Source organism: Homo sapiens, chromosome 14, assembly GCF_000001405.40.
Source record: "Homo sapiens chromosome 14, GRCh38.p14 Primary Assembly".
NCBI classification, from domain to species: Eukaryota; Metazoa; Chordata; class Mammalia; order Primates; family Hominidae; genus Homo; species Homo sapiens.
In genome coordinates, this window is record NC_000014.9 from 80726557 (window position 1) to 80752496 (window position 25940).

The window sequence follows — 25940 nt, forward strand, 5'->3', positions numbered from 1 at the left end:
TATGGAATTCAATGGCATCACACACTCCAAAGACACTAACAGGTAGTCTTTGAAAATAAATTGCTTTTGGCTTGCCTATGGGTTGCCTGTGCAAGACAAGTGCTTGAATCAGCACCAACTGAACTTAAGGAGAAAAATGTAAGCCATCGAGCCAAATGTGCATTATATAGTCATGAATCTCATTTAATACTTCTGCCTAGCTAATAATATAAATAAGTGGATATTTCAAGGAAAAAGAATTTTAAAAGGAAGAGAATATAGTTTAATGAGTACATAATTATTAATATTTTACAAAATAAACTTTGGAAGTGAGTTGCTGGAAGGTGAACAAAATATTTGAGAACTGGAAATTTTAAAAGGTGGTGGCAATTTCTAAGTGCTCCTGATAGAAAACTGATCTGAGAAAAGATTGCATACAAAATTGTTAATGAAAAATAAACTACATATTTGGGTGGAATTAGAGCTGTGGAAAAGAAATAAGATGATTAGTCACCTGAACATGGTTATGGAGGCATGGAAACTGAAAGACAAGTACAATACCGCTGTGAAAGAGTTCTGATTGCTTTACACAGAGAAATGTTCCTGAGGCCAAACAACAGTTACCCCTTGTCTAACATCGACCTTATACCACGACTTAAACAAAAATAAGGTAACAATTCTACCTAGCAGAGAGGGGAATCATGAGGAAGCAGTAGAGCATCTCACTTTAACGTGAAATAAAGATCAATTTACAATAAAGTAAAAAAATTTAATAAATTTTAAAATTTTGCATTTAGAAGCCTCAGGGGAAGCTTAGATATCCATGTCACCTCACTCCAGAAGTCAGAGGGAGTTACAGAAGTGGAGAGGCCAAATCTTAATGCAATATTTTGCCAGAAAATATGAAACCAAAAAAGAGACCGAAAAACCAAGGCGAAGATTACATGAGGAAGTCTCCAAAAGCAATTGCAATGAAAACAAACATTGACAAGTTGGACCTAATTAAACTAAAGAGCTTGTGCACAACAAAAGAAACTATCAACAAACAGACAACCTACAGAATAAAAGAAAATATTTGTAAATTATGCATCCAACAAAGGTCCAATATCAACAATCTGTAAGGAACTTAAATCAACAAGCAAAAATAAACAACCCCATTAAAAATGGGCAAAGGACATGAACAGATACTTCTCAAAGGAAGACATGCAGCCAACAAGCATATGAAAAAAGTTCAACATCACCAATCATTAAAGAAATGCAAATCAAAACCACAATTAGATACCATCTCACACCAGTCAGAATGTCTATTAAAAAATCAAAAAATAACAGATGTTGGCATGGTTGCAGAGAAAAGGGAATGCTTATACACTGCTGGTGGGAATATCAATTAGTTCAGCCACTGTGGTAAGCAGGCAATTTCTAAAAAAACTTAAAACTACCATTCAACACAGCAATCCCATTACTGGGTACATACCCAAAGGAATATAAATTATTCTACCAAAAGACACATGCATACGTATGTTCACTGCAGCACTATTTACAATAGTAGACATGGAATCAACCTAGATACACATCAGTGGTGGACTGGATCAAAAAAAAATGTGATACGTATACACCATGGAATACTATGCAGCCATAAGAAGGAATGAAATCATGTCCTTTGCAGCAACATGTATGCAGCTAGAGGCTGTAATCCTAAATTATCCTAAGATAATTAATTCGGGAACACAAAACCAAATATCACATGTTCCCACTTATTAGTGAGACCTGAACATGAGTACACATGGACACAAAGATGGGCAACAGTAGACACTGAGGCCTACATGAGGGTGGAGGATGGGAGAGGGGTGAGGATGGAAAAACTACATATTGGATACTATGTTCACTATCATAGTAATGAAATCATTTGTATACTAAACCCCAGTGGCACGCTATTTAGTCATATAACAAATCTGCACATGTACCCCTGAACCTAAAAGTTGAAAAAGAAAAAAAAAAGTACATTTTAAATGTTTGCTCCACAAATTCCAAAAGGAGGAGGAAAAGGGTATGCATTGCTATGGGATCTCTGTAAAAAGCATTTTTATTTAATTTGAACCTGAGAAGTTGGAAGATATTCCAAATTCTTATTTATTGATTCTTATTGTTAACGTATTTCAGCCAAAACTTTTTTATTCTCTCTTAATAGATTATGTCTCTGTCTGGATTAAGAGAAGGACCAAAAAAGTGATCATTTGTAGCAGTAATAACTATGTATGCAGATATCAACATTGTAGAACATTATAAATATACTAGACCAAAGTTGCATTTTCTAACTAGATGTAACCACATATTAAATAGCTATATTTTTCCTCTTTTAACAGTTTTGTCACTTCCATGCTGCCAACGCGGAGTCACAGAATCTGCAGGTTCACGCTGAGCCCTTTTGGTTAAACGCATCACTGAGGCAATCAGAATCTCCTTTTGCTGCCCTTTAACTGGGAACAGCAAGTTCTGCCCTAGTCCCAGGCTGGGCTGGTGGGGGTGTGTGTGTGTGTGTGTGTGTGTGTGTGTGTGTGTGTGTGTGTGTGTGTGTGTGTGTGTGTGTGTGTGTTTACCCAGTGTTTAGTCTTTTATCCCTCACCCCCCTCCCATGCTTCCCCCCAAGTCCCCAAAGTCCACTGTATCATTCTTATGCCTTTGTGTCCTCATAGTTTGGCTCCCACTTATAAGTGAGAACATACAATGTTTGCTTTTCCATTCCTGAGTTACTTCACTTAGAATAATGGTCTCCAACACCATCCAGGGTTGCTGTGAATGCCATTATTTCATTGCTTTTTATGGTTGAGTAGTATTCTATGGTATACATATATATATATACCACATTTTCCTTATCCACTCGTTGATTGGTGGGTATTTGGGCTGGTTCTACATTTTTGCAATTGCAAATTGTGCTGCTATAAACATGCATGTGCAAGAGTCTTTTTTCATATAATTTCATAATCTTCATAAATTCCCTCTGGGTAGATGCCCCGTAGTGAGACTGCTAGATCAAATGGTAAATCTACTTCTAGTTCTTTAGGGAATATCCGTATTGTTTTTTATTGTGGTTGTACTAGTTTACATTCCCACCAGCAGTATAAAAGTGTTCTCTTTTCATCACATCCGTGCCAACATCTATTTTCTTTTTGATTTTTTAATTATGGCCATTCTTGCAGGAGAAGGTATCACCAAATTTTGCATGAAGAATATTTGCTTGAAGATAGGTATTTAATTGAAATTACATTTACTTCTCCTTTCCTCCCTTAACAAACACCATTATGATAAACACATTTGGTGAAATATTTATGAGGATTGGTGTGTTTAGGGAATATCTCAGAAGACACAGTACATACTGCAGCCATTTTCTTTTCCTTGAACTGTCAAGCTAAACTCAGCATGAACAAAGACAGAAATATTAACGAGTACCCAACAGAGGCCTCACTGATGTGGAATAAGAGATGGTATTACTTAGATATATACCTCTTTGGAGTGTACACATTGAATAGCCATAGTCACAGCAGGCTTGGAAAATAAAAGCAGTCTCTTATTTCAATATGAGCTTACAATTGCACCTTAAGAAAAAATAAGAAAATTAATTTCTGTATTTGTTCATAATCATTGGCATTTCATTGCAACGAAATCATACTATATAGAGGTCTCCCCTTCTAAATATCTTTTAAGAAAGGAATCCTTCCAACTGTCATAAACATTTGACTGTCTATTAACCTCATAGTTTCAAAGTATGCATTCTTACACCTTAGCTACATCTTCCCAACTGTAATTTATATCTCTCTTCTCAAGACTGAAAGTGCTTCTTAGTTAACTTATATTGGGTCATTCTATACTCAGAATGGAAGAGGGTAAAGAGAAATGTTTAACGTAAGGGCAACTCCTGTACCATTGACAGACCCAGGTGAACTTCTAGCTGGAGACATGACTGTTTTAACAGGGAAAAGGAGGAAGAAACTGTGGATCATAAATTATATGTATACCTCTTCTGGCCCCAGTGAACTTTGAAAGCTTTGTAGAGAGACAAATATTTCATGACCACAAAAGTGTAAGTTAGTCAGATGGAATAGTTCTTGGAAATAGTTGTTTCGTGGAATTTATGTAGATGACTACAAAGACTAATTTGTGCTTTTGAAAACTACAGTGTCCATTAATCACTGTGAATTTCAAAAACAATAGAAAGGTATGGTCTTGAGTGACTGGTTAGAAAGTAGTTATCACTTTCATAGTGGAGGCACAAGAAATGAAAGGTTTGATCTTAGTTTCCTCTTTATGGGAGAGAAAGGTTGCATCCAATAATATTATAATTAAATTCATTAATTGGGCCTTGAGGCTTGATGTTCCTGTGAGCTATTCAAAAAATTATAGGTTATCAAATGATGTGAAAGAAAATTTTAGAAATATTACAGCTATCACAACAAAGGAGTTAATGTCTAACAGTAAAACTATTGTTTCTGGATAAGCATTTCTAATGGTATAGTCATTAAGACAGCCTAAAGACTTTGAAATTTTGACAATTCTATTTTCTTTCAAACATTCTTAACAAAAAAACTTGATCTCTTTAAAAGTTCAGGGAAGAGGTCCCAACAAAGTGAGGAAAGCCAGGTTGGTTTCAATTTAGAAGGCTCATTGAGGTTGACAGAGTATTGCTGGTTTATTTTGATATGCTATATAGCAGTGCAAACACAAAATCGAGTTTCACAAAGTCTGCTCCCATCTGTAACTGCCTGTCAATCCTGGAGAAATAACCTGCCCCCACTTCCCTCCCAGCCTAAGCTGCCTCAACTGTTAAATGGGATTAATAACCTCAGAAGTTTATTTTAAGAGTTACATAAGATAATACATTTAAAACCTGCACATTACCAAACCCTCAAGAAATATTAGGTTCCTTCATTTCCCTAATGGTCATCTCAAGGAATGAAGTAAGTAGTTGAACATTAAGATCTAATGTCACTTGTATAGGACTGTGGGTAGCGACCTTGTCAAAATGTGATGTAACTAAAAAATTACTTTTAAATACAGGAACAACAAGGTCAATAGTCTCAATAGGGGAAAAAAAGCAAATCTATAATTTCTCATGGTTGATGTGATGGAACTGTTTATCTGATCTACGAAGGAGAGCATGCACATCAAAATCTCGGTAAATACTATGAGGGAGAACTTCAAGGGCTTTACACTGGACAGATAAAAAGGGAAAAGATTCTTTTGTTGCCAAATATACTAGTTTCAAAAAATCCACTGAAGACAGCTAAGCTAATAAACATTATCAGACTAGTTTGGTGATAATTTGGAGTTATTCTTCATATTTGGTCTTGTGTTTTGAAGAAGCAGAAATAAGAATAAATCAATAAGGCTATGTTTTCTTTTTGATTGAAAGAACAGACCTAAGTGTGTAGTTAGAAATTATAGGGGAGTGTAGCTTCTGTTGAAGATACCATAATAAATGGAAAAAAAAGAGGTAGGAGGGAAATCTGTGCCATCCATTTATCCATCCACCCATCTATCCACCTGCCCCCATACACAAACATCCATTACATGTTTACTTTCTGTTAAATATAAAACATGGTACCAGATGCAATGAGGAAACAAGAGATTAAAACCTAGTATTAAATAATATATATGCAGATAACCAGAGGAAACAGCAATAAGTGGCAAATGTCACGGAATCCTACCTGAAAGTTTTAACTGCAATGGAGTGGTAAAACAAAAAAATTGCACTAGCAAACATGATAAAAAGGGCTAGAGTTTACATAGAAAGAGAAGAGGAAAAAAATGGTAGGACTTTTGTAACAAAATTGAACTTTATTTGTTTAGCAGTGGGAAAACCACTGAGGTTTCTAAGCTGGAGAGTCATGGGATCAAAGCTGTGTTAAATGAAGATTCATCTGGCAGAACTGATTAAGCAGGTGTGTGTGTGTGTGTGTGTGTGTGTGTGTGTGTGTGTGTGTGTGTGTGGTTTCTCCAATAAAACCTGTTAGGTAGAGGTCAATTGTGGATGTGTTGTAAGTAATTTATCACAAAAAACACAAAACCGAAATCGGTGATTTACTTTTTTGTATTAATTTGAGAGTATTCGAGGTTATTTCTGTAAGATGTCACTCTTACCAAATGCTTTACTAAACAGCAGATTAAAGAATGCAGAAACAAATAGCTGGAGCCCAGGGCACAGTGTGACCATGAAACACCCACAAGAGTGTTCCTGCCTGGAAAAATAATCTGTGTTGGACTTTAGCAGGCATATAGGTGAGGACAAGTCCAGCAGAAGACACAGACTACAGGTTAGGAAGATCATGCAAGTAAGATGCTTCTGTAACCCTTGTAAGTATGAAGCAATAAAGAGCTAAATAAGACAAAGGTGGTATAAAGGTTAATTTTATATGTCAACTTGACTGAGCCACAGGGTGCCCAGATATTTGGTTAAAATTTGGAGTACGTCTGTGAGGGTGTTTCTAAATGAGATTAACATTTGAATCAGTAGACCGAAAAAAAGCATATTGCCTCCACAATATGAGTGGGCCTCATCTAATCCACTGAAGGTCCCAACAGAGCAAAAACACTGAGCAAAAATCACTCTCCCTCTGCATGAACGTCTTCAAACTAGGACATCAATTCTCTCTTGCCTTAAGCTTGAACTCAGACTGGAACTTATACCATCACCTGTCTTGGTTCTTATAGCACTGGACTAAGACTGGAACTATACCATAGGTGCTCTTGGGTCTCTGGCTTGCTGACCATAGATCTTGGGACTTCTCAGTCTTCATAACCACATGGGTCGTGTGTGTGTGTGTGTGTGTGTGTGTGTGTGTGTGTGTGTGTGTATTTGTGTGTCTGTGAACATACATAGAAACACACCCTATTGCTACTGTTTCTGGAGAACCCAGACTAATACAGGTGGTCTAAACAGAAAGAGAGGAATGAATATATGACAAACAGCTAAGAAAAACTTTGTAAAGTCACCAGTTGTAGTGGACAAGGAAATGGGAGAATGTAATCTTTTTTTCAAATCATAAATATAAGAGAGATTTTAAATGCTTACAGGAAAACTTTCAAATTAATAAATGTTTTAAAAATTCCCTAAAGATTCAAATGGAAATTTCATGGCTATAAGGCATATATAAGTTTTACATAGAATATGTTGATGTCCTGTATTTTTAAATATTTCCATTTTATATTTCATGACATGCATATGTTTATTTTCAGCAACTACATCTATTATGTAAACCATTCTGGACTCCAGTGTAATCAATAACAAAGAATAATCAAACTTCAAATCCTTAAAATTCAATCATAAATTGAAGTTTAGAACCCACTAAAGGTACACTAGGCATCTGAAAATTCAGTCTGTTAGAGGACATAGATAATTTTATTAAATTTACTAAGTGCAGTAACAATATTTTTGTTTGCCCTTTAGTTCCCTTATTTCATGTTTCAGCCAAGTTCTTTCCCACTTCAACGCTTCATAAATGCTGTTCCCTCTGCTGGAATGGCTATGCTCATCACCCCTTACATGGCTAAAGGTCAGGCATCACTTTCTAAGGAAACCCTGACTTCAACATCTCCCTCACCCATAATCTGTGAAGTTAGATCCTCCATATACTCTTAGAGCATAATCTATACTGCTACAAAGGACAACTACTCTAGTAGACACAGTGTCGATGGCCAACATGAAAATGTTCTAAACAGGAAAAAAGAATATAATAATGAATACAGAATAATAAAACTAGCCTGCATTGTGTCTTCATACTAACATAATCAAAAGTTTAATTTTTTAAGGGAGGAAGGGGCCCACAAAAGCGAAAGTCTTTAGGGTCCACAAAAGCCATATGTCCCTAGTTACTCTGCATTATTGCTAAGAAATGACACCCTGACTTTTTTTTTTAGGCTGGATGATAGTACCTACCTAGGAATTAAATAAAATTATAAATTACTTAAAGCACTTAAACAGTGTCTGGCACATAGCAATAAATGTTAGATGTTATTACTGTTTAAAACAATAACTGAGGGCTGGGCACGGTGGCTCACACCTGTAATCCCAGCACTTTGGGAGGCCGAGGCGGGCAGATCATGAGGTCAAGAGATCGAGACCATCCTGGCCAACATGGTAAAACCCCATCTCTACTAAAAATACAAAACTTAACTGGGTATGGTGGTACACACCTGTAATCCCAGCTACTTGGGAGGCTGAGGCAAGAGAATCACTTAAACCCAGGAGGCAGAGGTTGCAATGAGCTGAGATCGCACCACTGCACTCCAGCCTGGTGACATATCAAGACCCCATCTCAAAAAAAAAAAAAAAAAAAAAAAGGAAAAACAGTAACTGAAAACACTATTCATTACATTACATTCAAGAGAATACATTCCTCTTGAATTTAGTTTTCAAAATAAGTTTGCTTCTCCCAAGCAGTTTCTGTGTTCCATTTAAGATAATACAAACCATATGACCTAACAGGTATCCCTCCCAGATGTCAGAAAACTGAGAGCTAAATAAAGTGATAAACCAAAACAACTTCTTCTTGGTGCCTAGGACACTATTTCTCTGTTTCTTATTTTTTTTCCTGTGATTTTTAGATTTCCATCGATGTCCATTTTAACACTATAGTACAGATTTTAACACTATAGTACAAGTCAAAATAAAAGGATAAAATTTGAAAATATGACTACGTAATATCAAGGGCCTTACAACAGCCTAAGCCAATAAGGACTGTCTCCATTTCGGGTTCACTCATAATCCATGTAACTTCTTTGAATTTTCATAGTATATTTGAAGAAAGAATATCAAATACGTATACCTAGGCATAAGGAAATCATACTCATTTTGAAAATACCACGTTTCGCACATTTCCAGAACTATCTCAATATATTTCAAGGTTAATACAGTAAAAGTAATTTATGAATATTCCTAATTTACTGATAAGTGTCCAAAAGTGGGTGCACATTTCCAAAGAGGGTCAAGCAGGCTGGAAAATTTCTTGATATACAGGGAATCAAGTAGCAGAGAACCTATTACAGATCTCTAATTTCATTATTTTATTGGTATATTAGTTTTTCATAGATGCTGTAACAAATTCCCACAAACTTAGTGCCTTAAAATGATGCAAATTTATTATGTTACAGTTCTGTCCGTTAGAAGTTCAATACGTCTTACTGGGCTAAATCAAGTGTTAGCAAGGGTACCTTCCTTTCTGGAGGCTCTGGGGAAGAATCCATTTCCTTGTCTTTTCCAGGATCTAGAGGCTGCTCATATCCCTTGGTTCATGGTCCCCCTCTTCCATCTTCAATAAGCAATCTTCAGCTGAGTCTTTCTCATATTGAATCCTACTCTGCTTCCCTCTTTCACTTTTAAGGACCACGTGATTATATTGTGTCCCAGATAATACAGGATAATCTCATCTCTAGAACCTTAATTTTTTCCAGCTATAAAATCCCTTTTGCCATGTAAGGTAACATATTCACAGATTCAACCCAGTATCCAACCCTGTTAGGTTGTGGACATCTTTTGGCAGAGGAGGGAGGGAATAGGCAGGCATTATCATTTTGTATGCAACATTATAGAAAAGACAGATAGTACTCATTACAACACACCATCAAAGCAGAAACGACCTCCCAGAAATCCATATTTGCAACAACAAATAGTCAAAATGTACACAGTTTCCATCTGCATTTGTTTTAAGGTAGCTCTAATATAAGGTTTTAAAAAAAAAAAAACACAGCAAATATATGCTTTGAATTTAATGAAAGCTACTTAGTAACCTAAAAGCTCAAATCGAATCTATTTTAGCACAAGGAGCTTTGCCTTACTCATCTCCCTAAGTGTGCTCATGATTCAAGTTTAAGGAAGAACAGCTTTGCTACACAAATAATCTATAAAGTGAAGAAACAAGAAAATCTAAGAATTCACATAATATATTTAACATTTCTGAATTTTCCAGAATATATTTCAGAATACACACACATACACACACACACACACACTGTCTCTCCCCTCAATATTTTGGAAGAGGAAAAATACAAACTTTAAATATTTAAACTCCCCACTCAATCAATACTGGTCTGTTGCCAACTGAATACATTACTGGAAATATTGAAAATCTTTATCTCTAAAATTAAGTTCATCCAATAGAAGTGTTATAAATTTTAGGCCCGTTACACAGAGGTGAAAAAGGGAGGGCTCAGAGATATTTACAGTTAACTAAAGAATAATGAATCATAAGTTTCCACTGCCCATTTACTGACTAAAGACATGAATGTTGATTTCGCATTCAATCACAGTTGACATCTGCACAGATCTGTGTATAGCATCCCTAGGCATATCGTTAATTTAATTCTGGTTCTAGGAATATTTAGCCAATGTAGTTTAACTTCAATCCCTGTTGACCTAGGCTGGATTTCAATTCATAACAGAAAACATATGAGAAACAAAATTACTGTAATGAAACATCTATAAGCAAAAGAAACTAAGAATAAAACATATTTCTTAAAAAATTATGATTTGACTCTAAGAGCGGGCATAATTTTTTAAAAACTATTCTTTCTCAATTGGTTGTTAAAAACAATTATAGGCTGGGTGCAGTGGCTCATGCCTGTAATCCCAGCACTTTGGGAGGCCGAGGCGGGTGGATCACAAGGTCAGGCATTCAAGACCAGCCCGGCCAGTATGGTGAAACTCCTTCTCTTCTAATAATACAAAAATTAGCCAGGCGTGGTGGCACACACCTGTAGTCCCAGCTACTCGGGAGGCTGAGGCAGGAGAATTGCTTGAACCTAGAAGGCGGAGGTTACAGTGAGCCAAGATTGTGCCACCACACTCCAGCCTGGGCGACAGAGCAAGACTCTGTCTGAAAAAAGAAAAAAGAAAAAAAATTATAAAGAAAGCAACAAGAAAATAAAAGAAGGGGTAACTTCATGTTAAATAACTGATGAGTTTTAATAATGTTCTCAATTTATCAATTAAAATCACTTATTTTAATTATCTCTAATGATCTACACCATTGAACTTCTGAACAAGCTGGTCACAATGTAAAAATAAGATGCTAAGGCCAGGTGCACAGTTTCATGCCTGTAATCCCAGTAACTCAGGAAAACAAGGTCTAGGATTATTTAAGTCCAGGAGTTTGAGACCAGCCTGGGTAACCTAGCAAGACCTCATCTCTATACAAAAATTAAAAAATAAAAACATTAGCCAGGCATGGTGGCATGCACCTGTAATCCCAGCTACTCAGGAGTCTGAGATGGGAGGACTGCTTGAGCCTGAGGGGTCAAGGCCGCAGTGAGCCAAGATGGCGCCACTGCACTCCAGCCTGGGTGACAGAGCAAGACCCCATCTCAATCAATCAATCCGATGATAAATTCAATTTTAAAAAATTAACCAGAGTCCAAATAAATAAATGATATTACATTTAGAAATCATCCCATAAGTTACTTCAGAATGTTTAAATATTACACTCCAATATGGAATAGAAAAAACTTGCTTCTTCCTGTTTTGGGACTAAAGGACACTTCTATGAATATCATGATTCTAAATTATTTCTTCAGTAAGACAAATCTGAAAAACTGTGAAATGATTTGCAGAATAAGTGATAGACGAATGAGTGACTGGATGACTAGAAAAGTAAACCAATATATAAATAATGTATAAGCACAACATAAAGTCTAAACTACATGTTAGAAAAGATACCTACAGTTCGAGAGTCCCTCCGTTATTTCTGTCCCACAAATAAATTATAAGACATTATCCTCTGTTAACAGCAATTGACCACCAACTGTACAAGTAGCATAGAAATTCGAAGGATGAGCAGGGAAAAGCAGAAAAACCAGCTGAAAAGTTTCTCAGAACACTGGGAATGATGAAACCAAAGGAATAAACCATTAAAAAGTTGAGAACACTATTGACAGATCCAAAATCTATCACATTAGATTAAAATCAGATTTTTAGATAGAAAAAATCTAAGTCATACAGTAGTCTCCCCCCTATTTTTAGATAGAAAAAATCTAAGTCATACAGTTTCAATTTGGTTTCAATCACTGCCTGTCAACTGCAGTCCGAAAATAGGTAAGTACAGTATAATAAGACACCTAGTGACAGAGATCACATTCGAGTAACTTTTATTATACTATATTGTTATAATTGTTCTATTTTATTAATTATTATTAATGTTTTATTGTTTATAATTTATAAATTAAGCTTTATCATAGGTTTGTATGTATAGGAAAAAACAGTTCATATAGGGATTGGTACTACCTGCAGTTTCAGGCATCCACTAGGGTGCCTAAGTCTCCACACATAAGGGGAGTCTACTGCATCTCTTTATGCTCACAGCCATGTATATGGCCAGAATAATCAGTGAATAGTGTGCCAGATTCGCCACTAAGGTGGCTCTAATGCTTTGGATATACATCATATGACAAGCTTTATGCTTTGGAAGCAGGTTGCCAAAAATACTGATTTGGCAATCTGGCTTAAACCACTCCTAAGACTTCTACCAACGCAGGTCATGCCAAAGTTTTACATTGCAAATCCAGTGGCTACTTCTCATCCCTTCTCTCCTTTTCTCCAAATACTCATCCTTTCTTTGAGCATATACAAGGGATAGGGAGCTAATGTATCTTTCCTCTACTGCCTACTTCTAGACTATGTATATGTTCATCCTTTTTTTTGAGCTTATATAACACAAAGATTAGACCCAATTACAGATGCTAAGAAGCTACCCATCAAAATAAGAAAACCACTACAAAAATTATTGTGATAAGTGAATCTGCCAAATATACTAGCATATTCAAAACACTAAAAAGATCTTAAAAGAAGAAATCCCTAACTCTTTTGCCCTTGTTCTTTCCAACATTCACTTCTCTACCTTTACTTTTGACCTCATCCACCCGTATCTTCCAGGATCCTGCTATACCAGCTAAACTTCCACCTGTTCGACCTCTCCCATCAACAGCCCCTTCTACTCAACATACATAATCAGGCTCAAGCTTTTCTATGACTAGTAGTACATACAGAATCATACTCTAAAAGTTATAGTCATTCTACTCTTAAAGACTGAGACTATTTTAGACACAAAGTTTTAATATTCTTTTTTTTTGATATTTTGGTATTTTGAATTTTTTTCACGTTACACTAGAGAGTTAAATCATAGTATACAATAGGGCTAGAATTAATACTAACAATGTTATTGTGTCCCTAAATGAATCAGGAAGCTCTTAGAGGATACCGTCACGAAATGAATAAAATATAAACTATTTAAATATTGCTACCATAAAATGTAATACATAACTGAAATATTAGAAAAGACAAATACTGTTACCTAATTCCAGAGTGTCATAAACAATATGTAAACCACTCTAATTAAATTACTTAATCAACTTCTGCCAAATATTTGCTGATTTTTATTTTGGTTATTCAGAGTTTAATAAGTATCCAATAAATTTCAAAACAGGGAAAAATAAATAAATTTGGGCCAATGGCAAGATATCATCTCTGTCTTTCTAAATCTAAACTTTGGGGAAAAACTATGCTTTCTTTTGGAAGAGTGATTTTTTTTTTCACTAAATATTAGTATTATGGCTCCCCTATTAACTGTGCTCCTTTAGTGTTCTTTCATTACTTCCCTCATTCATTCAGTTGTTCAACAAATATTTCACACGTCTACTGTGCACCACGCTCTTTCTAGGCATTGGAGACACAGCATTCAGCAAAACATTAAAAAATCACTGCCTTCATAGAAACTCTATGCTAGGTGATACATAAAACAAAACACATTTCTCAATTGTGTGCCTGTCAAAAATTCATTAAGGCAAGAAATAAAGTATCTTTGGGCCAGGACAGGCCACACCCACAGCCATTACTAGGGTGAAACTTAAAACTAGTAAAATGTATATACACATACACACACACACACACACACACACACACAGATTCATATTTATATCTAGATAGATAGATAGATAGATAGATAGATAGATAGATAGATAGATAGATAGACAGACAGATAGATAGAAATGATGCATATTTCTTTCACTGTCTACTTTTTGGCTAAGACACAGGTGTTAACCAAAAATAATCTGAGCATTTGTTCTCTGCTGCAAAGGCATTATTTTCTGAAGAGCTGGAAGACCATTTTCTTTTTTCTACATCCTCTTACCTGTAGTACTTTCCCTTTTATAACTATTCAGAAAAGATAACTCCCTAACAAAGAAACTTTGACAATGGCTTATTTCACCCTTAGATGTGTCTTCTAACAAATGACACATGACAGCAAGGGACAGATTCAGGAAGCCTTGGTACAGTACACGCTGCTGGGAATGACTATTTTCTATGCATTGTACTCACAGCATGGGGGCAGTGAGGAATTGGTGAAGGTCCCACCTAATAAAACAAATCCAGAAGAGTATAGCACCTACCCCAAACTGGAAATACTAAGTAAATCAAATTTCATCTTTAAGGTAAAGGAATTTCAGGCCATGTCAATTTCTAATTATTCCAAGAAGGAAAGCCATGTACACATAATAGCCAAAACTACAACCACCCAGTGCCTGGAAAGCAAGATCAGTCACCTGTTTAAAAAAGAGTCACTATTTCAGTTTCAGGAAAAAATAAGAAAATTGCCTTCTATATTTGTTCATATTCACTAGCATTTTGTACAGCAAGAATACAACTACACTGTAGAAATGTCTCTCCTTCTGAAAACTTTTGAAAAATTCTTTGCAATTTCCACATAAATTTTAGGTTTTAGTAAACCTGATAGTTTCAACATATTCTTATACCTAAATCCTCCCAGCTGAAGTTTGCAGCTCTTTACTCTTGTCTTTGTTACCCCTTATAACTGAAGAATTTCTCAGTGAATAATTACTAAACTTCTAAGAGGTTCCTGACATTAACCCCTTAATAAATTTCCTCTCCTACAGGAATTTCCAAATTCCAAATTTCCAGACTTACAGGCCCAGAATACCCCAAAAGTGTATGACAACATGGATCTATGAATATAGCAGCACTCAGTGATGGAAACTCCTTCTCCCAGGGCCTCAGTTAACCTGGCAAATGTCACTTACTATGACATTAAATCACACCAAAAAATATTAACTCTGAGATGGCATTAATTCTAGCAAACAGAAAGTTTATCTGTCATATTTCACTTATAGATAGGTTAACTTTGTTCTACTTAATAGGTAAGTTTCTAAGATGGTAAAGAGAATCACATATAAATTAGTATTAACAATTAACTTTGATGTGTCAGAAATATCTAAACTTAATCAGTAGTTTCGCTGCCTTTCACCTTCTCTATGTGTACCATTATAAAAAAAAAAAAGTTTAAATCACTACGCAGATAAATTCTGCAGAAAATCTTTCTTCCTCGTATTTTCCTTATGGAAATCTTGCTTTGTTTTTAAGATCTAAATAAAGTGACATGCCCTAAAAATGTCCCCACAGGGACCTCAGCAGAAGTAATCAAAACTCTTTTTACCAAGAGCATGTTGCTTATATTTCTAGTAATTATTTATAAGTCCTCAACTTTAACAGCATTTGCTTGGTAGCAGATTAAAGTGTTCATTACGTCCAAATCCACCAGGCAGTACTGTTACAATATTTTTCACACACCAGACAAAAGATTAAAATATCTCTTGTGACAAAAGTTTGGGCCTTCACAATACTTCTTTTTTCTTACATTTTTGATTTTAAGAATTAGGTAAAAATGCATACCCTCTTTTTCTCCCACTAAATCAACTAGTTCCTGACTTTCCTCTTTCTCACAATGGCAAAACCACTGAGACCTTCGAATCTCCTGTGAGTCCTCTCTCTTCCTCACCTTGGGCTGGTCCTCCACAACGTCTTTTGCATTTGTTGCCTGTTTTCCAATTCCACTACCAAGGTGCTTCTTCAGTCCCTCTTTTCCTTTTATAGAGAACATATCAATAGGCCTCTAACTGGACACATTGCCATAATCAATGCTAAGAATTTAATAACAGAGCTCCAAAATATGTGAAGCCAAATTCCCCTTACTCTACTGTTTCCACCACTATGATTACAACGTTCTAATATATTATATAATGTATCTATTTGTAATATGTATATCTCCACCCAATAAAACATAAGCTAAATAAGGGTAGGGTTTTTTTCTCCCCCTGCTTTATTCACTGATATATCCTCTGTACCTAGAATAGTGTGTACTTGAAAATGGGCACAAAATATGTATTGAATGAACTAAGACGTATTTTACTGAAGTAAATGTAAACATCAGCATTTTACTAAGACAGAAGCAGTATGTCTTATCAATTAATTCCTGCACACAGCCAGTAAATGCAGTTATCATATACACAGGAGGAATGCTGTGGCTGAAGAATTTTCTCTTCTCGTCCCAGAAATGAAGAAAGATAAGAAGACAAAGACAAGAAAAGGAGATGGGCTTGGAAATAGTCCAAAGGGGATGCAACAGAAGTAGGTTTTTTTCCAATCCTAGGATTAGGATTCCATAAATATAAACAAAGAAAAATGAAAGAACAACTAACACACACCTCTCTTCTCACGATGTATTTCATCCAGAAGCTGCTCCTGCCTTTCTATCTGTTGAAAGAGACACTGCAACTCAGATTCCTTGTTTTCAGTCAAATTCCTGAGTTGTTGTCTGCAGAGCATCAGCTGGTGTCGCAGATTTTTCTCTCTGTTTTCTCTCTCTTTCAGTTCCTCACAGAGCCACTGAAGTTTAGTCTAAAAAATAACATTTATATCTAATGGTTAAAGAAACTCAGAAAAGAGCAGCATTTCAAAACATGAAGAAAAAAATAAGTAACATAATTTGAACAAATATAGATAATTACCAAATTTTTGCAAAATTTTAAAATATCCATGTTTAATTTGCATAATGGTCTACAGCAAGTAAAAGCTGGTTCAGAAATTAAGCCATGGTATTCGTAGATTTTTAAAAAATATTTTGTGTCATCTTTAGAAAGACAAAGTTTGGCCTATTAAACTTTCAATAATATTATGGGTAATCCTCTGATTTGATATACAGGGCAGTCTAGTATAGGAATTTAAAAAACAAATACATCCCAGAATAGAACTACAGACTTTTTATAAAAGAAGTATTCCTTCAGAGAATTTTTTAAAAGATAAAATTCCTAGCATGACTTCTAAAAATGCATATCCCCACTGATCTAGCTAATTAGGCATGAGGAGAGATTCTTTATTGACTAGAAGATATAGAGTTAATGTTTATGCTTCTAAGACACAAGGAAAGTGAATTCTGGCAACTCTACTTCACAGATTCTAACCTCACCTACCTTTTTTTCTTTCTTTCTTTCTCTCTCTCTCTCACTCTTTTTTTTTTTTCGAGACATAATCTCACTCTGTCGCCCGGGATAGAGTACAGTGGCACGCTCTTGGCTCACTGTAGCCTTGACTTCCTGGGCTCAAGCAATCCTCCTGCTCAGCCTCCTCAGTAGCTGGGACTACAGGTACACACCACCATGTCTGGCTAACTGTTTTTTGTATTTTTTGTAGAGTTGGGATTTCGCCATGTTGCCCAGGCTGGTCTCAAACTCCTGAGCTCAAGAAATCCACCTGTCTCAGCCTCCCGAAGTACTAGAACTACTGACATGAGTGACCACACCCAGCCCTCACCTATCTTTAATATTTAGATATTTAAAACAAGAATAGGAAAAGAAATATTTCTTTCACCTTCAATACAGCAGGATTTCAGTCAAGTCTTAGGACCTTCCTAAGTCAGGCTACCCTCCAATTCCTAGTTATATATGAAATGTACTGTCTGTAGGAAAATCATGCTTTTGAAGATAAAACCTGTATCAAAATTATTAATATAAAGTCTCATCAAAAACAAAAGGGGGCCATCATAACAGTTCTTCTGGAATGATGATATATAGAGTTCTGTAGAAATGGTCCCCAGTGAAATAACCGTAAGTGCTAAAAATATTGTTTTTAAAAATTAACATTTCTAAATATTGTCCTGTAGCCATACAGCAAATGAAGAAACATTTATTCAAGAAACTCTATTTAACCTCATTAAAGTGGCACTTGAGGCATAACTGACTCCCTCCTTCTACCCTCAGTGTGATAAAAGCTCCACTCCTCATTTCAGAAAAACACTGCCAAGAAAACAGGGTTTTCTCTTTCTCAAGTTCACAGTCAAGGTACGTGATAGCATACTGGATGGGCAGATCACCAGGATTTTTCAGCCTTGCAGCTCTGATTTGCATAGGCTAAAATCCTGGCCAAGTGCAGCAGGATGTTGAGAATCCCTTGCTCCCCCAATGTGCCACTGATAGGATGGTTACCCTACCCCAAGCACAGCAGGCTGAGAATACTGGGGTCCCAACTGCCATTTCCCCAGGTCACTTATAATAAAGCCGTATTTATGAATATGCCTGATGAATACAGATTTTCTTGAAATCCTCGAGAAAATACTAGCAAACGGAATCCAGCAACCTATAAAATGAACATCATGATTAATATGGTTTGGCTCTGTGTCTCCACCCAAATCTCATGTCGAATTATAATTTCCAACGTTGTGGGAGGGACCCAGTGGGAGGTGACTGGATCATGCGGGCAGTTTCCCCCTTGCTGTCCTCATGATAGTCAGTGAGTTCTCAGGAGATCTGGTCGTTTAAAGGTGTGTAGCACTTCATCCTTTGCTCTCTCTCTCTTGCAGCCATGTGAAGACAAGACATGCTTGCTTCCCTTTCACCCTTCCACCATGATTGTAAGTTTCCTGAGGCCTCCCCAACCAAGCCTCCTGCACAGCCTATAGAACTGTGTGTCAATTAAACCTCTTTTCTTTATAAATTACCCAGTCTCAGGTAGTTCTTTGTAACAGTGTGAGAACAAACTAATACAATGATCAAGTGGAAGTTGTCCCAAGAATGCAAGGTTTAAGATAGGAAAATCATTAATGTAATATACCATATTAATACAATTAGGGACAAACATCATATGATTATACCAAAAGACACAGAAAATGCATATAATAAAGTCAAACATTCCTTCATAATAAAGACACTCAAAAAACTACAAATAGAAGAGAACCTCCTTAATATGATTTTTAAAATATCTATGGAAAACCCACAACTATTATCATACTTAACAGTAAAAGTCTGAATGCTTTCTCACTAAGACCAGAAGCAAGAAAAGGATAACAGCTCTCATCACTCCTAACATTGTATTAGAGGGTTATGAAAAGGCAATTATACAAAAAATAAAAAGAAATAAAAAATATCCAGATTGAAAAGGAAGAAGTGAACATATCTCCATTTGGAGGTAACAGGCTTATGTGCAGGAAAATCCTAGTAATTCCATTAAAAAAATCTATTAGAACAAAAGAGTCCAGCATATTATAATACATAAAATCAATACAAAAATTAATTATATTTCTATATATTAATATTTGCAATGAGCAATCCAAAAATAACATTAAGATAATCATATTTACAATAGCATCAACAAATGAAGTCTTTAGTGATAAACATAAAACTGCAAAACTTATATTTAAAAACTACAAAATGCTTTTTAAAAAACTGAAGACTAAGTGGGAAGATATCCTACGTAAATGGATTGAAAGCGAATATTATTAAAATAGCAATACATCCCACCTAATCTACAGATTCAACAGGATCCCTTTCAGAATCCCATCTGGCTTCTTTAAAGGAATAGATGAGTTGATCCTATGTTTCATATGGGAATTCAAGGCAAATTTCCAAAATAGCCAAAAAAAGATATTGGAAAAGAAGAATATAGTTGGAGGATTCATACTTATCCATTCCAAAGCTTACTACAAAGCTACAGTAGTCAAGATGGTGTGGTATTGGCATAAGGACAGATATACAGACCGATGGAACAGAAGTGAGAGTCTAGAAATAAACCCATATATAAATGTCAATTGATTTTCAACAAAAGATCCAAAACAATTTCATAGAGAAAAGAATAGTCTTACCAACAAATGGTGCTAGGACTACTAAATATACAAATACAAAAGAATTCATTTATACCCCTACTTCACACCATATACAAAAACTAATTCAAAAAGGATCACAGATCTAAATGTTAAAGAGCTGAAACTATAAGATTATTGAAAGAAAACACAGGCATAAATCGTTGTGACCTTGGCTTGGCAATAGCTTCCTAGGTGTAACACCAAAAGCAGAAGCCATCAAAGAAAAAAGCTGACAAATTGAACTTCTTTGAAATTAAAATGCTGTGCTTTAAAGGCCACTACCAACAAAAAGAAGAGACAACCTGCTAAGTGGCAGAAAATATTTGCAACTCAATGTCTAATAAGGGAATTACATGTCAGATTCATAAAGAAGTCAGTAATAAAAAGACAAATGATGCCATTTTTAAAACGTACAAAGGATGTAAATAGATATTTCTCCAACGAAGATATATAAATAGCCAATAAGCACATGAAAAGATGCTGAACATCATTAGCCATCAGGAAAATGTAAATCAAAACCACAGTGAGACTCTACTTCACACCCAGCAGGGTAGCTAAAATCAAAAAGACAGATAATAACAATTGTTTGTGTAGATGTGGAGAAACTGGAAGTCTGACATACTGCCAGTGCGAATGCACAGCAGTGCAATTGCTTTAGAAAATAATCTGACAGTTACTTTATGGGTTAAACATAGAGGTACCATATAACCCAGCAGTTCTACTCCCAGGTAAGTATCTAAGAGAAATGAAAAACAAATATACATGCAAAAACTCAGATAGAAATTACTCATAGCAGCATTATAATAACAGCCAAAAAACTGAAACAATCCAAATTTCCGTCAAATGATGAACAGATTTAAAAAGTGGAGTATATCCAAACGATGAAACATTATTTGGCCATAAAAAAGTGAGGTCATGATACATGCTAAAATGGATGTATCATAATTTGGATGAAACTTGAAAACATTCTGCTAAATGAAAGAAGTCAATCACAAAAGACCACATATTATATGATTATATTTATGGCCAGGGGCAATGGCTCACGCCTGTAATCCCAGCACTTTGGGAGGCCGAGGTGGGCGGATTACAAGGTCAGGAGTTCGAGACCAGCCTGACCAACATAATGAAACCCTGTCTCTACTAAAAACACAAAAATTGGCCAGGCATGGTGGAACACGCCTATAATTCCAGCTACTCAGGAGGCTGAGGCAGGAGAATTGCTTGAACCCAGGAGGCAGAGGTTGCAGTGAGCCAAAATCACACCATTGCGCTCCAGCCTAGGCAACAGAGCAAGACTCCATCTCAAATGTCCTGAATAGACAAATCTACAGGGACAGAAAGATTAGTGGCAGACTAGAACTGGTGGTTGGATTTATAGGTGATGGCTAAGGCGTCCTGATTTTCTACTTGAGGTGATGAAAGTGTTCTCAAATTAAATGTGGTGATGACTGCACAATTCTGTAAATACACTAAAAAGCATTAAATGGTGCATTCTAAATTAACGAATTGTATGATATATGAATTATATCTCAATTAAGCTGTTAGTTAAACGGTAGAGAGTAAGTCAAGGCAGAAAAACAAAGCTAAAATTACACCTCTATGAATAAACGAGACCTGGCTACGCAATTTATAGGCCTCTGTCTTGTCTGGATGTCACTGGCTAAATGTAGGAAATCTGCAAATTAAATTGGGCTGTGCACTTCCAATTATGATTGCAGAAATTTAACAAAGCCTACTTCGCTTCTCAATACTCCCTTTGAAACTTCCATGTGAATACAGAACAATAAAAAGCTTCCATAGGACAGAAATCAGGAAACAGGGTCAACTCTTTGCCAGATAAAATATGTACTTTCTATTATAATTTTCTACTGAAGCACTAACGAAGAATACAGGAAAAATATAAGATGGTATACCACCATCCTCCTATGACAGTCAAGGCAGCAAATTGGGCTGTTCTCTAGAAAGTGTTTTCTACGTAGAGTATGAAACACATGCTGAAGGCTGGAAATCAAGAGGTTGTTACAGTACTCCAAGCAAGTGAAAATGCAAAGGGAAGAACCAAAGTGTACATTTTTGAGATATGATACTTCCTCACATGTTATGGTTAAAGTAGAGAGAGGAATCAGTAATGGTCAAGACGTATAACCCATAATAGCCAAGTTTCTAACTTACAAAACTGTGAGACAGGCTTTAGGTGTTACCCTGTGTACTCTCAGCTGAGGTGGGCACAAAGAGATACACCTTCTCCTTAACCAAAGGAGAGGGAAGAGTAAAAGGGACTTTGTCTTTCAACATGGGTACCGACTCAAGCCACAGTAAAATAAAGCACCAAGTAGACTCCTAAAGTTCCTGACTCCAGGCCCTAGCTCCCAGGGAGCATTTCTACACTCACCCTAGGCCAGAAAAAAACATGTTGCCCAGAAGAGAAACACACAAGCATGGCTGGCTTCACCTGACTAGAGAGCCCTTGGATCTTTAATAAACATCAGGAGTAGTCAGACAATAGTCACCATAAGCCCTGGGAGAGACTCAGTACTGTGCTGGCTTCAGGTCTGCCCCACCACAGTCCCAGTGGTTGTGGACACAGAGGTGCTTGTTTCAAACCTCCTCCACCTCCAGGCAGTTCAGCACTGAGAGAAACACTGCGTTTGTTTTGAGGGAAAGTAGGGAAGAGAAAAAAAGACTCTGCCTGGTAACCCAAGCACTTCGGAGAACATATGGAGGTTTCTCAAAAAACTAAAAATAGAGCTACCATACAATCCAGCAATCCCGTTGCTAGGTATATACCCAAAAGAAAGGAAATCAGGATAGCGATGTCTGCGCTCCCACATTTGTTGTGGCACTAATCACAACGGCCAAGATTTGGATGCAACCTAATTGTCCATCGACAGACAAATGGATAAAGAAAATGTGGTGCATATACACAGTGGAGTACTATTCAGCCACACAAAAGGTGAATCCTGTCATCTGCAACAACATTTATGGAACTTGAGACATTATGTGAAGTGAAATGAGCCAGAAAAAGGAAGACGAACTTCACATGTCTCACTCATTTCTGGGAACTAAAGATTAAAACAATTGAACTCACTGAGATAGAAAGTAGAATGATGGTTACTAGAGACTGGGAAGGGTAGTGGGAGAGGGAGGCAGTGCATATGGTTAATGGGTATATATAGAATGAGTAATATCTAGTATTTGATAGTACAACAGGGTGGTTACAATGAACAATAATTTATCATGCATTTTTAAATAATTAAAAGAATATAATTGGAATATTTGAAACACATAAGAAACAAGTGCTTAAGGTGATAGATATCCCTTTTACAATGATGTGATCATTATACATTGCATGCCTATAGCAAAATATCAACTTTTAGCAGATTACAAATTAAACAACTTTGGCAAACAAAAGAAATATATAAGCAGAGGATAAAATTTAAAAGAGATAAATCTGAAGGAATACATTTTAAAAAATAGTAAAATGAACATGGACTGATAAAAGATATGACATTTACAGTTGACCACAGACTCCACAGGAGTGAAAAAGAAGACAGTTTTTCAACCTCCTGTCAATAGAGACAACATAGTAGGATTTAATCTGGTTGGTATGCATCACTGATGGCAAATGTGAGTAATCATAAGCGTAAGGTAGAAAACATCAATAAAAGAAGTGGACAGAAAATATGGAAATGTATATGTTACTCTTAAATCTACTCTAAGAAAATTAACGGTGCAAGCATAATAATAAAATGCAACACTTTTCCCCCATGTTGGAAATGAATAAAGAATGGACTGGACCGTGTCAAATCATAGTGTAGTTGCCCCTGCTAATGTAGTCAGGTCCATGGTTTTTCTCATCTCCAACTGTTTTCCGCCATATGAGAATGAAACTCTACTTTTTTTTTTATCAGATCTTCTGATGCTTCCCACATAAAACTTCGATATTGTCTTTATGCAATTGTCTGAGTTTTCAAATGTTTGCTACCAATTCAATTTTTAATAACCCATGTGGTCCAAACAAAATCGGTCCCAGCATGATCCTCCAGTAATCTCTTCTAACCCAGTGATTTAACTGCAAATTTAAAAAATCACTTCACGTTGCCTTTTCTCCAATGCTTTTCCACCTACTCCATCCCAGTCTTTCACCTTTGTGTAATTACTACCTATGGTCACTGCTACTCCTAAGAGATGGTAATGGAGAAACAATAAATCTGTTTTGTCCTAACAATAATACTAATGGTTCTGGGGAAAAAACAAAACAATAACAACAACAACAAAAAATCCCTCACAAAGTATTAGGTTTGATATGTGTTATGGATTGAATTCTGTCCCCTCAGACTTCATATGTTGAAGCTCTCACCCCAAGTGTGACTGTATTTGGAGATGGGGCCTTTAGGGAGGAAATTAAGGTTAAATAAGGTCATAAGAGTGGACTCTATCTGACAGGAATCCTGTCCTTATAAGAAGAAGAGATAGCAGAACTCTCTTTCTCTTCCAGCCTCACAGAAGGAAGGTCACATAAGCACACAAAGAGAAGGTGGCCATCTATGAGCCAGGAAGAGAGGTCTCACCAGAAACCAAACCTGGCACCTTGATCTTGAACTTACAGCCTCCAGAACTGTGAGAAAATAAATTACTGTTCAAGTCATTCATTGTGTGGTATTTCGTTATGGCAGCCTGAACAGATTAATATAATATGACCTATGGCTTCAGTCTATTCTTACGAAGACTTTATTCCATTGTCAAACAAAATTTAAAGCTAACTATAGTTAGATTTTTTTTATGAATTGAATTTGTATGCAGAATATATTATTAATCCTACAAAATAAAATATCAACCTATGGAAATTTAATCAATCAATAATCAATTATGAGAATTTGTCTTTGTTGGATAAATACCCAACATCTTCATTAAGTGTCTTGAGGAAGCAGCTTGGAACACAATATAGAAATAACTTTAACAATTCCCAATAATAATTAGCTGACAAGGCTATTAATCACAGAGCAAAAACCATTCTATTAACCACTCACAGGAGTATTTTACAGATTACATAATAGGATCATTTATTTAACTACATCAACAAGTATTGCTAAATAAACCAAAACAGAGAATAAATTTGTAAATATGTCTTTTTTTTTTTTTTTTGAGATGGAGTCTCACTCTGCCGCCCAGGCTGGAGTGCAATGGAACAATCTAGGCTCACTACAACCTTTGCCTCCTGGGTTGAAGCGATTCTCCTGCCTCAGCAACCGAAGTAGCTGGGATTACAGGCTCCCGCTACCACGCCTGGCTAATTTTTGTATTTTCAGTAGAGATGGTGGTTTCGTCATGTTGGTCAGGCTGGTCTCGAACTCCCAACCTCAGATGAACTATCCACCTCGGCCTCTCAAAGTGCTGGGATTACAAGTGTGAGCCACCGCACCCAGGTAATGGCATTTTTTAAACCTTTGCAGTTGAGTAGTTGATAGCTTCCAATTAGGTGGGAATATTCATAAGTATCTAGTAAAACTACCAAGATGAACTTTTTAATCTGTGAGAATCCTCTACTGAGTCCTAGGGTAATGATATACTAAAGCCACTAAGAAATGACTCAAAGCTAAAAATCAAGGACCACAGAAAATTTAAATAAAAAGATTATAGCTTATAAAGGTAGCAATAATATTAGGACCCAGAATTTTGCTCCTTTAATTACTATGCTTCTTTTCCCAAACCTCTAGAAACAATTTTGAAAGAAAATGTTTGTATAAGAAACAGAGATAAAGAGGATGGCAATTTTTTAGAATGTGGTCAGCCATCTAAACAAGAATTAAATTAGAAATGCAAAAGTCAAATACAAGTCAACCTAAAAATATGTAATTTTTTCAGTAATACTTTCTCTACCTTTTCACTAAGTTATAAATATAATCAAGAAAAAAGCAAAATAATCTCCACAGCAATACATATACTTTTGCTCAATTAACTGAATATATTCCACGTAAATAATCTAAAGTGTAT

The 25940-nt window shown here is 36.0% G+C and overlaps 1 protein-coding gene across 16 annotated transcripts in view; it reads right to left on the bottom strand.

Moving 5' to 3' along the window:
• The window catches only part of CEP128 (centrosomal protein 128), a 482534-nt gene that overhangs the window by 249588 nt on the left and 207006 nt on the right, over positions 1-25940 (bottom strand). For all 16 annotated transcript variants that reach the window (NR_157142.2, XM_047431023.1, XM_011536493.3 and 13 more), the window contains one exon: positions 16519-16711. Coding sequence is in view for 15 of the 16 variants with exons in the window: in XM_047431023.1 (XP_047286979.1) it covers positions 16519-16711 (193 nt within the window). In the remaining variant the exon portion in view is untranslated. The remainder of the gene's footprint in view (positions 1-16518; positions 16712-25940) is intronic.